The sequence below is a fragment of the Homo sapiens genome, chromosome 1 (genome assembly GCF_000001405.40).
Source record: "Homo sapiens chromosome 1, GRCh38.p14 Primary Assembly".
Lineage (NCBI taxonomy): Eukaryota > Metazoa > Chordata > Mammalia > Primates > Hominidae > Homo > Homo sapiens.
In genome coordinates this window covers 45,493,866-45,508,698 of record NC_000001.11, presented here as the reverse complement: position 1 = coordinate 45,508,698, position 14,833 = coordinate 45,493,866, and the positions used below count along the sequence as shown (strand labels likewise).

Below are 14,833 nucleotides of genomic sequence, written 5' to 3'. Positions count from 1 at the left end.
TGTACACTGACTACATAAACCTCTGTCCTTTTCTTGGCAAACCCTTTCATAAACTATTCTGAGCACAGGGAAGGGCTGGGCTTCCTAGTCTCACCACTAGTCTTAACACTGCTGTGCCCCCTGTATCCTAAGACAGTTCTGCAGACTAAGTTTTCTGATCTCACGAGTACCCAGTTAGACAACCGCATGTGACAGGACTGCCTCCCATCCAGAACAAAGCTAATTTGTTCTGGGTTGTGTCACATCCATCCAGGGAAGGCTGAGGAATGTGGGACCTGGTAGGGAGAGGCCTTTACCAGTCTATCTCAGCCTCTATTTACATTTTCCCTCTCACCTGGTTCCCCCATGGGTCAGCCTCCACATCTTGTCGTTGGTAGTAGTAAGCAGCCCCAGCTACATGGGCTGCTGTCTGGGCCAGGATCTTGGGGCGTCGGTTGGGGTGCACCTCGTAGTCAGCAATGATTTCTATCTGCAGCTCTGGGAGGCTCTGGAACAGTGGACAAAATAGAGGGTACTGTCAGCATGAGGGGAGTTATGACCTTGTCCGAGGGAGCCCTAGTTTGTTTTGTGTGTGTGAACATGGTCCTGTCCTCAGAAGGGAAAACATGACCTTAACTTGGGAGGCTCCAGTGTGGACATAGTTATAGTTATTTCCAGAAGGGCACATGTTTGAAGGGAAATACATAACACCTGGTGTGAAGGAAGGCATGGTCAGCTTTGGGGAGATCCAGTGGGTATGTACATAGTTATGTGTATATGTGAGTGTGTGTTGGGAGAATATTGTTCTGTCCTCAAAAGGACAGCATAAAGCTTGCAGGTCTAGGACAAAGCAATGCCTGGGGAATGTTGGACTCATTCCTATTCCACTTGGAGGCCAAGGAAAACCTGGTCTGAGGTTCATATAGTTGCCCATCAGTGTAGGGTGAGTGAGACTATTTCACACTGGGGGACTGCTAGATGAGGGTGGTGGAACCTGGGTGTGTGAGAAGGCAGAATGAGGAAAGATCACAGAATGTCAAGCCTGGCTTTAGGGTATCATTTCACCTTTGAAGTGGCTCCTAGCCCTAGGTCTAGATCCTGCATTGAGTGTGGAGGAACTGGAGGCAGCTGTAGGTTTGGGAGCTGGGGGAAAACTGAGCCTTCCTCACCTCTCTAACACGGCCCAGATGGTAGGCCACACACTGGTCCACTGGGTCAGTCAGCATTCGGAGGTGGCAGCTCTGCAAGAAGGGCTTGAGGGCCCGGTCAAACATGGCAGGCGTGCTGAGTACCAGGAAGGCCAGGGTAGGTCCTGGCAGCGGTAGGTGGAAGGCTGGAGGCAAGAGTTCATTGTACCATGCCACCTGAAACAGAAAGTTCAGGCCAGGCTGGAGAGGGCCAGTCTAGGCCTCAGCCTGGCCCACACCTTAACCTTCAGGCCTCACACTTTTGCCCCAGCCTCCATCTCACTCATTCAGTGAATTTTCACTGACGCTATGTGATGCATTTTTATAAGCAACTCAACTGAATTTGACAGGGAATTCATTATTTTTTGAGACAGAGTCTTGCTCTGTCACCCAGGCTGGAGTGCAGTGGCATGATCTTGGCCCACTGCAACTTTGGCCTCCCAGATTCAAGTGATTCTCATGCCTCAGCCTCCCGAGCAGCTGGGATTACGATGTGCACTACCACGCCTGGCTAGTTTTTGTATTTTTAGTAGAGACAGGGTTTCGCCATGTTGGCCAGGCTGGTCTCCGAACTCCTGGCCTCAGCTAGGACCCACCTGCCTCGGCCTTCCAAAGTGCTGGGATTATATAGGCGTGAGCCACCGAGCCTGGCCCAGGGAATTATTTTATTTATTGAAGGACTGACTGACAGCAAATAATTTCAGGCCTCATCCAACTACAAATGAACCAATGAAAATGAAAAACCCCGCCAGGTGTGGTGACTCACAGCTATAATCCCAGCACTTTGGGAGGCCGAGGCAGGTGGATCACCTAAGGTCTGGAGTTTGAGACCAGCCTGGCCAACATGGTGAAACCCTGCCTGTACTAGAAATACAAAAATTAGACAAGCATGGTGGCACTCGCCTGTAATCGCAGCTACTCAGGAGGCTGAGGCAGGAGAATCGCTTGAACCCGGTAGGCAGAGGTTGCAATGAGACAAGATCGTGCCACTGCACTCCAGCCTGGGCAACAGAGTGAGACCCCCGCCTCAAAAAATAATAATAATAATAAAAGAAAATTAAAAACCCAGGAACGAGGACCCACAGAGCAGAGTTCCTAAATCCACAACTGACTGAGGTGCATGAGGGCATAGGAACAGTCAAAGTGGCTGTCAACGCACTTGCCCTCCAAGTCCAACACCTTGAAGGCATTTTAAGACAAAAACAAGATCGGAGATTTCTCAAAGCAGAATCAACATATGATGCCATGACAGTTGTTCAGAAAAATATTGTTAATCTGGAGAAGCATGTTGCTGCAGCCAAGCCTGAGAGGGAGAAAGCCACCTGAACCCTCAATGCCGTTCATGCCACAGTCCAACTCATCCTCAAATGACACAAAACGATGTGGTTCCACCAGTCTCTTCCCAACCAGCACTTCTTTATCCTTTTGATATGTCATCAGGGGAAACTATCAGTGGCAGCAAGCTATGTCTTCACTGAAGATCAAGGGGTTATAATAGATTAAAATTTTACTATATCCAGAGCATCTCCATACAGACAGATCAAAAGACGAGATCATAGTTCCAGGCTATATAACCCTAACTCTAGAGATGAATTTGGAGAGAACAGGCAGTTTTGTTTTTTTTTTTTTTTGAGACGGAGTCTCACTCTGTTGCCCAGGTTAGAGTGCAGTGGCGTGATCTAGGCTCACCGCAACCTCCGCCTCCCGGGTTCAAGTGATTCCCCTGCCTCAGCCTCCTGAGTAGCTGGGACTACAGGCACGTGCCACCACGCCCGGCTAATTTTTGTATTTTTAGTAGAGATGAGGTTTCACCATGTTGGCCAGGGTGGTCTCGATCTCCTGACCTCGTGATCCACCTGACTTGGCCTCCCAAAGTGCTGAGATTACAGGCGTGAGCCACCGGGCCCAGCCCAGGCAGTTTCTTAAAATACTGTTTTTAGGCTCGGCGCGGTGGCTCATGCCTGCAATCCCAGCACTTTGGGAGGCTGAGGTAGGAGGACTGCTTGGGGCCAAGAGTTTTAGACCAGCCTGGGTAACAGAGTGAGAACCTGTCTTTGTTTTTTTATTTTATTTTATTTTATTTTTTGAGACGGATTCTCACTCTGTCGCCAGGCTGGAGTGCAATGGCGCAGCCTCGGCTTATTGCAATCTCCACCTCCCGGGTTCAAGTGATTTTCCTGTCTCAGCCTCCCAAGTTGCTGGGACTACAGGCGTGCATCACTACGCCCAGCTAATTTTTGTATTTTTTAGTAGAGACGGAGTTTCACCATGTTGGCCAGGATGGTCTCGATCTCTTGACCTCATGATCCACCTGCATCGGCCTCCCAAAGTGTTGGGATTACAGGCGTGAGTCACCGCGCCAGGCGAGAACCTGTCTTTAAAAACAAAACGGCCCTTTTTTTTTTTTTTTTTTTAAATGTATACAGTCTCACTGTCGCCCAGGGGCTAGGGTACAGTGGCATGATGTTGGCTCACTGCAACCTCTGCCTCCTGGGTCCAAGTGATTCTTGTGCCTCAGTCCCCCAAGTAGCAGGGATTAACAGGCGTGTGCTACCAGGCCTAGCTAATTTTTTGTATTTTTAGTAGAGATGGGGTTTTGCCATGTTGGCCAGGCTGGTCTCGAACACCTGGCCTCAACTGATCTGCCCACCTTGGCCTCCCAAAGTGCTAGGATTACAGGCGTGAGCTTCCGTGCCAGGCCAAAAAAACCATTTTTATCAGTTAATGATGAACTGATGCTACCAAAGAGGCTAGAAACGTACTTAACCTCTGACTTGAGCCCATCAGGGGTTTTTCTGCTTCTTTTTTTTGAGATAGTCTTGCTTTGTCACCTAGGCTAGAGTGCAGTGAGGTGATCACAGCTCACTGCAGCCTCAACCTCCCTCCCTCAAGCAATCATCCCTCCTCAGCTTCCCGAGTGGCTGGGACCACAGGTGTGAGCCACCACACCTGGCTGGCTAATTAAAACAAAAAAATAATTTGTTGTAGAGACAGGGTCTCCCTATGTTGCCCAGGATGGGATTTTCCTGCTTTTGACAGACTTTCTTGTTACCACGGTCAACACCATATTAGTCTACAAACCCCTAACAGGAATCTTGTGTTTGGTTTCTTTTTTTTGAGATGGAATTTTGCTCTTGTTCCCCAGGCTGGAGTTTGTGGCGCGATCTTGGCTCACTGCAACCTCTGCCTCCTGGGTTCAAGTGATTCTCCTGCCTCAGCCTCCCGAGGAGCTGGGATTACAGGTGCCTGCCAGCAAACCTGGCTCATTTTCTGTATTTTTAGTTGAGATGGGGTTTCATCATGTTGGCGAGGCTGGTCTTGAACTCCTGACCTCAGATGATCCACCCGCCTCCGCCTCCCTAAAGTGCTGGGATTACAGGCTTGAGTCTCCGTGCCCGGCCAGCAAGCCTGTGTTTTTGAGGTTGACCAATCAGCAAAGCAAATATGTGATTAATGCAAACTTTATTTTCAGTTTTAGGACACACAATATTTGCTTTTGTCCACTTGGCCTGGACATCCAAGAAATTGGATTCACCTGTAACACCGTCTACACCCACATTCACACACTGAACATGGAGAAGAGATGTCACAAGAAGCCCAAACCGAAGACCCATAACATAACCTGCAATGAACTTGCTAAATCACGTAGTTGTGGAGGTTTCTGCTGTTCACACAAAGTGCTATGTATATACCGGCATCACTTACTGGGGATTTCTGACTCATAGTGCAGAACACTTGACACAGGTCTACACAGGCTACCTGGGGTTGTGCATTAATGGGACAGAGTGGGATGACCATTACTTGTTTGATTGTAGCTGGTTTTACTGCTGTAACAGATAAGTGAAGTCTGTGTCGGTGCTCAACTAATAATGTGACTGTTGTGGTTAGGTCTGTTCCCCCTCATGTCTATTATAGGTTCATGTATTATATGGCAGGGAACTTAGAATAGAGAGGCAGAAATCTCAGCTACTCAGGAGGCTGAGGCGGGAGAATCGCTTGAACCTGGGAGCCAGAGGTTGCAGTGAGCCAAGATGGTGCCATTGCACTCCAGCCGGGGCAACAGAGTGAGACTCCATCTCAAAAAAAAAAAAAAAAAAAAAAGCAGAGAGTTAGAGAGTTATTATTATTTTTGAGATGGAGTTTCGCTCTTCTTCTTGCCCAGGCTAGACTGCAATGGCGCGATCTCGACTCACCACAACCTCCACCTCCTGGGCTCAAGCGATTCTCCTGCTTCAGCCTCCCGAGTAGCCGGGATTACAGGTGCACACCACCACGCCCACCTAATTTTGTATTTTTAGTAGAGACGGGATTTCACCATGTTAGCCAGGCTGGTCTTGAACCCCTGACCTCCAGTAATTTACCCACCTTGGCCTCCCAAAGTGCTGGGATATAGGTGAGAACCACCACGCCTGGCTGCAGAAAGTTCTAATAGGCAGAACCACTAAGAACAATAGAAATGACTGTACTATAGCTAGTGCAATGACAGGGTCAGATAAGGGTCCTCTGAAATTAGAAAAGGCTTCCTTGTGGCCGGGCATGGTGGCTCATGCCTGTAATTCCAGCACTTTGGGAGGCCAACGCAGGCAGATCACCTGAGGTCGGGAGTTCAAGACCAGCCTGACCAACATGGAGAAACTGTCTCTACTAAAAAAAATACAAAATTAGCCGGGTATGTTGGCACATGCCTGTAATCCTACCTACTCTGGAGGCTGAGGCAGGAGAATCACTTGAACCCGGGAGGCAGAGGTTGTGGTGAGCTGAGATCGCACCATTGCACTCCAGCCTGGGCAACAAGAGCGAAACTCCATCTCAAAAAAAAAAAAAAAGAAAAGAAAAGGCTTCCTTGGATGCTAAGTCTTGAAGGCTAGAAAGTCAACTGGTCAACTGTCAGGTTGATGTAGGGAGGAGAATCTGGTGTGCATTTATTTATTATTTATATTTCACCAAAAAACACATAAACTCACTGGTGTGTATTTTAAAAAGAGGTCACAGACTGAGTGCGGTGACTCATGCCTGTAATCCCAGTGCTTTGGGTGGCTGGCCGAAGCAGGAGGATCACTTGAGGCCAGGAGTTCAAGACCAGCCAGGGCAACAAAGTGAGACCCTGAGTGTTGGTGCATGCCTGGAGTCAGCTACTTGGGAGACTAAAGTGGGAGGATCACTTGAGCCCAGGAGTTTGAGGCTGCAGTGAGCTATGATTGCACCACTGCACTCCGGCCGGGAGGACAGAGTGAGACTTTGTCTCTAAATAAATAAAGAATAAAATAAACAAGTCACAGCATAAGCAAACACACTGGCAGAAAATTCCTGGGTATATTTGAGAATTGTCTAGTTTGGTGGAAGTGAAGGGTCTGTAGAGGGAATCAGAGGGAGAGAAGGCTGGAGAGATCAATAGGAGTGAGATTTTGATTGGCTTTGAATACCAATTTAAGGAATATGGATTTAATTTGGTGACAGTGAAGAGCCACTGAAGATTTAAGGAGTAAACTAGCATGATCATTTTTAGATCACACTGGCTGCAGTGTGGAGGAGGGACTGGAGGTAAAATTACAGCAAGGAGGTTATTACAGTAATCCAAGTGAGAAATGGTGGCCTGGACCACAGCATAGATGGGTGGAATACAAGGGAATGGATTTGGGAGATTCAGTAGACAGTCTTATAGGTCTTGGTGGCTGATTGGATGTGGGGGTAGGGAGGTGAGAGGTAGGAGCCTAGGGTGACTGGCAGGGCTGCAGTTGGCTTTGTTCAGTACAAAAGCTCCTAATACCCAGGTCTACTCAACTTGCCAGATAGGCATTCTCACTCTCCCACACACCTGCCATCCACTGAAACGGTGTCTCAAAGAGTTAAAGGTCGATCTGCAACAAATAGCTTTTGTTTTCTCAAAAACCCAGTGTCATAATATTAGCTTCCAGCACATCAGGCATCAAGCCCTTTTACTTGGTAACACCACACCACTATCTCCACACCTTTACTCAAGCTTTTTCTGATATTTGGGATGTACATAACCCTCCTTCCTTCCAATCTATCTTTTCATATATAGCTCAATTCCATTTTTTCTGGCAAGACCAGTCTCAAGCTAGACCCAACCTACTTCTCCCTCTATATCCTCTCCCAGGACTGCTGTGAGCCACTCAGCAGAAGGAATGGGAAGTGGGTAGTCTCTTAAGCATCAGGCAAAGGGCTCAAGCTGAGCTGATTTAGCTTTGTAACTTAACTGCTCAGTGCACAGGGCACTGATGTGGGGAAATGTAACCGTGTAAATGGGGGTCGGGGTGCGGTGCTGAGACTGCTGTGCCAGGCAAGTGTACAAAGTTTCATTACCCAGCCCAGCACTGATGACTGGAAATATCATGAATTATCCTTCTGTTGGTAGAGGGAACAAACCAGCCAATTGTTTGCCTGTTCATCACCAGGAATGCCCTTCCTTCCTCAGCTGACCTAAATGATAGCTATGCAAACCTTCTAGGCTTTGCCCTCTCCTAAATCCTTTAGGAAGTTCCAAGGTGACTTTGCCTCACAGGTCCCTTTCTTCTTGTAAATTATATAGGTGACAATCTGAGCCACACACGCTACAGGTCATATGGTGTCTCCCGTTAACGAATCCGGCATTATATGGTGGCAAAAGGTTAAACATGCGACAACTTTTTTTTTTTTTTTTTTTTTTGACACGGAGTTTCGCTCTTTGTTGCTCAGGCTGGACTGCAATGGCGCAATCTCGGCTCACTGCAACCTCCGTCTCATGGGTTCAAGCAATTGTCCTGCCTCAGCCTCCCGAGTAGCTGGGATTACAGGCATGCACCACCACGCCCGGCTAATTTTATATTTTTAGTAGAGATGGGGTTTCACCATGTTGGCCAGGCTGGTCTCGAACTCCTCACCTCAGGTGATCCGCCCGCCTCGGCCTCCCAAAGTGCTGGGATTACAGGCGTGAGCCACCATGCCCGGCCTCGACCACTACCTTTTTAACCCAAGCCCCCACTGAAACTCTGTCCCTGTTGTCACATGGACACTGGGCTGCAGGAACCCAGGAGGATCAGAGGCTCCCGAGGCCTCACGCCAGTTGCAACGAAGCCAATCATATATTTCGCCCTAGAACAGCAGGAGGGATAAACTAACCTGGAAGGGGTAAACCTCGAAGCCAAAAGGACATAGCGTGTCCTCGATCTTCTGCTTCAGCTCTGCGACTTTCGGCTCCATAGCGCACGTTACACGCTGAGCTTGCTGGGGAATGAAGTCTCAAGGACAATTGGGCCGTTACGTTTTGAGTCAGCTTCGACTCCATTTCCCAGGTAGGAAATGGGTCCAGTAGCGGGACCATATTGCCTATGCGCGATGCATCTTGGGATGCGTAGTTCGTTTCCTCCTTGGAGACAGCCACACGAAATCAGGAAGACTCAGTTTCCCGGCAAGCTACACGGTGGGGGTGTGCATGTACGTGTCTCTTCTAGAGAAAGGTAGTTCCACCGCCTCCATCGCCGGTTGTGTTCGCAAGAGGCGACCTCAGTTTCCCAGGTGGCGCTGCGGCAGCCAGTCCAAAGTCGGACTTTCAAAACCAACCCGAAGTTTTGAACCCGGCGGCGGCAGTTGTCACTGGCACAGGTTTGGCGTGGTGGCGCCAGTGTACTACTTCTGGGGAGGTCTCAACCAGGTTCTGGCACCTTCAATCCCCACCTGATATCTGCGTATCATCACGGTATCCCGCTTTTCCCCCAGTTCCCCAAGAGCGTCCTTCCTTTCCCTAGTCACAGGATCGCAGTTTTGGTCTGATAGTGCATCCACCTACCCCAGTGTTGCATCCCCACTTCCCTCTTTCCATCTAACGTGGTGGCCTTTCCTGGGGATACCTTGGGTATCCCCCGCTAGGAGAGCAAGCACAAGACACCAGGGAGCCAGACCCCTGCCGCTCCCCTGCCACAGGATATGAATACGAGCCTCAGCTGGTTTGAGCAGCTGGATGTGCTTCTCAACGCTACTGATGGAAATGTGGTCCGGAATAAGGTGAGGGGTTGGTGGAGGTCCCCAGTTTGCGTGGGGAGGCTAAGGGACTCTCAGAGTTCATTGGCCTGTGCATCTGTTTCTTTTGTAGCAGTGGCTGTATCCTCTTGGGGTCTCCACAGAGCTCATTGGCCTGTGCATCTGTTTCTTCTGTAGCAGTGGCTGTATCTTCTTGGGGTCTCCACCGCAGGTAAGTAATGTCTCTTTCTACTTCCAAGCCCTTTCTCTTTCTGTGCCTTCCTCCAGTGCCCGTATCATCCATTATTCCTTCCAAATTCCAACTCTGTCCTTTCCTGAACTCTGTTTCCCCACACAGACCCTGCACTTAACCCTTCCTTATTTCCTCAGCCGGGGACCTGGCTGGGACCTGGATTTCCTCTCATCACTTGCCTCTGCAGTCAGGAGTCCAAGCTCAACAGCCTTGGGCTTTAGAGACTCCCATAGTTCCACAAAGGCTGAGCTGCCCTGAGTCCTAGAGCCCATCCTCTCTCTGGGGTGAGGTTGCTATTCTCTGATCCTAATTTCAATGTCAGGCTCAGGTGAGGCTTGGAATCCTTGGTGTGTATATGTGATGTTTGTGTAAGATGAGGATACTAGGGGTCGGGAAAAGCTGTTATACAGTAGTTCATGTGCTTTTTTCTGCCTGGGGAGGTGACAGGCACTAAGGCAGGCAGTGCAGGGCCTGCTAGAAGAGCGAGAGCAGCAGAAGTACCAGATCAGTGTCCTGGAAGGTATCTGGCCAGTTATTTTCTTCATATACACAGCTTCATATGTATGCACACAATTTTGCCACACACCTGTTGTGTGTGCACATGTGTCTTGTTTTGCAAGTAGAGTATCTAGGGTCTTGTGAAACTCTTAGAGAGGATGATCCCTAACTTGTCCCACTACAGCATCACTAAGGTTGCTGCAGGGGGCCCCAAAGGGGAGTGCTTTTCTCCTGGAGCAATGCCTGGAGGAGCTGAGAAAGGAACTGCAGGGCCTTCAGAGCCAGGTGTGGGAGCAAACCCAAGCCCAAGCCCAAGCCCAGATGCAAACAGGACCAGGAGAATGCAGTACTACCAATGGCCTTCCTCAGGAGCTGCAGACTGAGTAAGGGATAGTCAAGACCTTGCCTTCTTTTTTTTTTTTTTTTTTTTTGGGTTTGTTTTTCTTTTATTGATCATTCTTGGGTGTTTCTCACAGAGGGGGATTTGGCAGGGTCATAGGACAATAGTGGAGGGAAGGTCAGCAGATAAACAAGTGAACAAAGGTCTCTGGTTTTCCTAGGCAGAGGACCCTGCGGCCTTCGGCAGTGTTTGTGTCCCTGGGTACTTGAGATTAGGGAGTGGTGATGACTCTTAATGAGCATACTGCCTTCAAGCATCTGTTTAACAAAGCACATCTTGCACCGCCCTTAATCCATTTAACTCTGAGTGGACACAGCACATGTTTCAGAGAGCACAGGGTTGGGGGTAAGGTCACAGATCAACAGGATCCCAAGGCAGAAGAATTTTTCTTAGTACAGAACAAAATGAAAAGTCTCCCATGTCTACTTCTTTCTACACAGACACGGCAACCATCCGATTTCTCAATCTTTTCCCCACCTTTCCCCCCTTTCTATTCCACAAAGCCGCCATTGTCATCCTGGCCCGTTCTCAATGAGCTGTTGGGCACACCTCCCAGACGGGGTGGTGGCCGGGCAGAGGGGCTCCTCACTTCCCAGTAGGGGTGGCCGGGCAGAGGCACCCCTCACCTCCCGGATGGGGTGGCTGGCCGGGCGGGGGGCTGACACCCCCACCTCCCTCCCAGACGGGGCGGCTGGCCTGGCGGGGGGCTGACCCCCTCCACCTCCCTCCCGGACGGGGTGGCTGCCGGGCGGAGACGCTCCTCACTTCCCAGACGGGGTGGCGGCCGGGCAGAGGCTGCAGTCTCGGCACTTTGGGAGGCCAAGGCAGGCGGCTGGGAGGTGGAGGTTGTAGCGAGCCGAGATCACGCCACTGCACTCCAGCCTGGGCGCCATTGAGCACTGAGTGCGGCCTTGCCTTCTTGAGGCCTTTGAACTTTTGGCATTTGTAGTGGGACAAGTTGGGGATCATCCTCTCTAAGAGTTTCACAAGACCCTAGATACTCTACTTGCCTTCTTACTCTGGATTTGTTGATTGACTTTAGAATAGCACTGCTGTCACTCCTGCAGTGCTGTGGGAGGAGTCAGAGATTATGCAGAAGGAATTGAAGTTGCTGCAGTACCAGTTGAGTAAGTAAAAGGTGGTTGGGGGCGAATATGCGTTTCCTTGTCCCCTTTTCTGGAAAGTCATCTTCTTCTTTTATTTATTTTTATTTATTTTTATTCTTTTTGAGATGGAGTCTTGCTCTGTTGCCCAGCCTCGCTCTGTTGCCTGTTGCCAAGGCTGTGTTGCAATGGCGCAATCTTGGCTCACTGCAACCTCTGCCTCCCGAGTCCAAGCGATTCTCCTGCCTCAGCCTCCTGAGTAGCTGGGATTACAGGTGCCCGCCACCATGCCCAGCCACTTTTTTTCATATTTTTAGTATTTTTAGTAGAAATGGGGTTTCACCATGTTGGCCGAGCTGGTCTCGAACTCCTGACCTCAGATGATCCGCCTGCCTTGGCCTCCCAAAGTGCTGGGATTACAGGTGTGAGCCACTGCGCCTGGCCTGGAAAGTCTTCTTGCTCTCCCATTAAGTGGCCATGGCTCCAACTGCCTGAGCTACTGAGAAGTGTGGCCAAGTATTTTGTTGCACTCTTTGTCTCTCATGGTGTGAGTTTAATCTCTTCAGTCAGCTTGGAAGCGTCCCAATGGCTGAGCCAGAATGTTTCTGTCTCAGTTTTTGGCAGCAGGCTGGTCACAGGCAGGGAGGGAGAAGGAAAGAAGTTGGGGAACAGCCCCCTTACATTCTCTCTCATCTGCAGGCCAGCACCAGGAGCTGCTGCTGAAACAGCTGGCTGAGGGACGACAGGCTCAGGTTGGCAGTTGGAAGGTAGGACTAGGTTCAGACTTGTCTCTGCATATTTCTCTATGGAGGACCTTTCCTTTCTCTGTCTATCCTGTTCTGCAGGGAGGCCAGGATACCCTCTCCTGCCCCTGTCTTCATTCCTCTCTTCCCTGTGCTGACTCTCTCTCTCTCCAGAGCTCTTCTTTCTAACCTTTCTGCTCCCGGCCATGAGAAACTATCCTTGCCGACATGAGGGTTCCAAGTGTGCTGAAGAGGACAGTCATGGGGAGGGAGAGAGGGAGAGGTTTGGTTCCACCTGAGCCCATGATCTGGCAGATGTTAGAGCAGTTGCAAAGTGGCCAGGAAGGCAAGGGTCATACCCTGGAGGCTACCAGGACAGAGGACCAAGATGCCTGGAGGGAGCACAACCTCCTTAGGTCAGGGGGTATGGGTGCTGTGCCATTGGAGGGAAATTGTCTCACAGGTCGGGCACTGGGGACCAAAGTTCAGCTATCCTAGATTTGACTTGGGCTTTTGGGGTAGTATGAGTATCTGGGTTGTATCCCATAAAGGCATTCTTTACCTGATAGAGAGTCAGTGAGGTACCTTTGTATGTTTGGATGTTACAGAGGGAGGAGAGATTGGCAGGGCGCGGTGGCTCACGCCTATAATCCCAGCACTTTGGGAGGCCGAGGTGGGCGGATCACCTGAGGTCAGGAGTTCAAGACCAGCCTGGCTAACATGGTGAAACCCCATCTCTACAAAAATTAGCCGGGCATGATGGCGGGTGCCTGTAATCCCAGCTACTCGAGAGGCTGAGGTGGGAGAATCACTTGAACCCAGGAGGTGGAGGTTGCAGTAAACTGAGATCATGCCGTTGCACTCCAGCTTGGGTGACAGAGTGAGACTCCATCTCAAAAAAAAAAAAAAAAAAAAAAAAAAAAAGAGGGAGGAGACCAGAGTCCTAGCCTGAGGAAGGAGGACAGTTCTGTGTTGGAAGGGCCCCCTTGATACATCATTATCTTCTCTGTTTCTGGTTCTGTTCCCCTTTCCAGGATCTCCATTCATGTTGTCCAATCTAAGCTGCCTCTGCCCACTACCTTCACCATGTCTGTTTCTTCATCCAGCTCTTAATTCAGTCTTCTGGACAGTAACAGTAGCTGGGAACTTTTATGGAAGCCAGGTAAGGATAAGGACAAGGATTCCCGTTTTGGGGGAGGCTAAATCTGAATGGTGCCTGAATGCCAGCTGCCTAATTATTTAACACTAGGTAGAATGGAGTCTCTGCCTTTCTGTGAACTCACTGACCTCTGTTGCTGTTTATCCTGTCAGTCCTCTATGTCCCTCTCTATTAGAAAGGCCTAGGGCCTAGTTCTATGCATATCACAATGCTTGCTGATGACTTGTTTTCTCTTCCCTTTTCTTTCCTCTTAGATCCCCAGAGGAGCACCCTTTCTAACCTGGAGCCCAGCATCTTTCAGCTCCATGCCCAGAGTCTTAAGCAAGAGGACCTATTCCTTTGGGGCCCCAAAATGCTCCTGAATGACCTGTAAGGACTCGTTAAGAATAGTAGGATGAAGGCTTCTTTGCCCACCCTCCCCTCCAAGGCCCTGTTTCTGGGCTGCCCGCCCCTACCTTCTTGAAGTAGCTATTATCTGTCTTATCTACTGAGGCTTTTCACTGCCTGCCCATCCTTGCCCCCCATCTCAGCTCACTGCAACCTCCGCCTCCCAGGTTCAAGCAATTGTCCTGCCTCAGCCTCCCAAGTAGCTGGGATTACAGGTGTGCGCTAATTTTTGTATTTTTAGTAGAGATGGGGTTTCACCATGTTGGCCAGTCTGGTCTTGAACTTCTGACCTCAAGTGATCTGCCCGCCTCGCCCTCCCAAAGTGCTGGGATTACAGTTGTGAGCCACCATGCCCAGCCTATAGCTGTACCTTCTGAGTGCAAGCTCAGTTGAACTTGGAAAGTAATGGGAGTTCCCATTCTGGTGAGTAGAATGAGGTAGGACACTGCTCTAGGGCAGTAGTGCTGGGGGATGCAAAGGAGGATGAGATATTCTGGTGGGACTTGGATCTGGACAGTAGGAGGCTACCTTTCCTCATCTCCAGCTTCTGCCTTTTTTTTTTTTTTTTTTGAGGCAAGGTCTTACTCAGTTGCCCAGGCTGGAGTGCAGTGGCATGATCTTGGCTCACTGCAGCCTCCGCTTCCTGTACTAAAGCAATCCTCCCACCTTAGCCCCCCAAGTAATAATATATGGGACTACAGGCACACGCTATCATGCCTGGCTAATTTTTAAATATTTTTTGTAGAGACAGGTTTTCACCATGTTGCCCAGGCTGGTCTCGAACTCCTGGGCTCAACTGATCCACCAACTTTGGCCTCCCAAAGTGTTCAGATTACAGGTGTGAGCTGCTACCATGCCTAGCCCCAGCTTCTACTGCTTGAGGCTCTCTTTGGCATCTCCACACATCATCCTTAGCAGCCCAGACTGCATTTCTGTAGCAGCCTCTTCCCTGGTCTCTTCTTTCAGTCTCTCTGCCTCTAATCCAGTGGCTTTAAGAATTTTTTGGCTGTGACTTCCAGTAAGAAATACAATTTACATTGTGACCTAGTAAATATGTGTGTAGATTTATTAACTGAAATAAAAATGTTATGATTTAATTTTTATCCTTAGTGGGAGTGATACACTGATATTTTCTATTATATTTCATTAAAAAATGCCTTGTGACTAA

At 49.5% G+C, this 14,833-nt stretch overlaps 2 protein-coding genes across 15 annotated transcripts in view, besides 2 other annotated features; one reads left to right on the top strand and one right to left on the bottom strand.

Annotated features, from left to right (window-relative positions):
• MMACHC (metabolism of cobalamin associated C) overlaps positions 1-8,399 on the bottom strand; it is a 13,083-nt gene extending 4,684 nt beyond the window's left edge. Inside the window, exons 1-3 of one of the 2 annotated variants that reach the window (NM_001330540.2) lie at positions 8,286-8,399; positions 1,149-1,394; positions 335-487 (exon numbers count right to left, since the gene is read on the bottom strand). In NM_001330540.2, coding sequence (NP_001317469.1) covers positions 335-487; positions 1,149-1,253 — 258 coding nt within the window. In that variant the 5' untranslated portion in view covers positions 1,254-1,394; positions 8,286-8,399. The remainder of the gene's footprint in view (positions 1-334; positions 488-1,148; positions 1,395-8,285) is intronic. The other variant, NM_015506.3, reaches the window with a different exon arrangement.
• Positions 8,154-8,686: an enhancer, noted in NCBI's record as "H3K27ac hESC enhancer chr1:45965685-45966217 (GRCh37/hg19 assembly coordinates)". NCBI's record gives its function as "activates a minimal SCP1, AML or CMV promoter by ChIP-STARR-seq in naive and primed H9 embryonic stem cells {active_cell/tissue: H9 hESC(naive and primed)}" and the evidence as "EXISTENCE:reporter gene assay evidence [ECO:0000049][PMID:30033119]".
• Positions 8,405-8,604: an enhancer, noted in NCBI's record as "active region_971". NCBI's record gives its function as "activates an Ori minimal core promoter by ATAC-STARR-seq in GM12878 lymphoblastoid cells {active_cell/tissue: GM12878}" and the evidence as "EXISTENCE:reporter gene assay evidence [ECO:0000049][PMID:35858748]".
• CCDC163 (CCDC163 homolog) lies at positions 8,626-14,833 on the top strand. 13 transcript variants are annotated; one of them, NR_152413.2, is made up of 7 exons: positions 8,626-8,768; positions 9,033-9,167; positions 9,256-9,354; positions 11,316-11,400; positions 12,076-12,143; positions 13,154-13,281; positions 13,533-14,833. NR_152413.2 is itself a non-coding variant. In XM_024453044.2 (6 exons), exons 2-6 carry the CDS (start codon positions 9,090-9,092, stop codon positions 13,638-13,640), a joined length of 498 nt encoding a protein of 165 aa, XP_024308812.1. In that variant the 5' UTR covers positions 8,626-8,768; positions 9,033-9,089; the 3' UTR covers positions 13,641-14,833. The 13 variants fall into 13 exon arrangements, 7 of the variants coding, with proteins under 7 accessions (XP_024308812.1, NP_001345335.1, XP_024308813.1 ...); NR_152414.2 differs by having other exon boundaries at positions 8,626-9,167; positions 11,316-11,395; NR_033298.3 differs by having other exon boundaries at positions 8,626-9,167.

What these genes read in the sequence shown, in the direction of transcription:
- CCDC163 (XM_024453044.2), top strand. Translation starts at nt 9,090, where the DNA reads ATGAATACGAGCCTCAGCTGGTTTGAGCAGCTGGATGTGCTTCTCAAC. An exon ending in TCTTGGGGTCTCCACCGCAG is followed by an intron (nt 9,355 to 11,315) that starts GTAAGTAATGTC and finishes GATTGACTTTAG; the next exon opens with AATAGCACTGCTGTCACTCC. An exon ending in GTTGCTGCAGTACCAGTTGA is followed by an intron (nt 11,401 to 13,153) that starts GTAAGTAAAAGG and finishes TCCCCTTTCCAG; the next exon opens with GATCTCCATTCATGTTGTCC.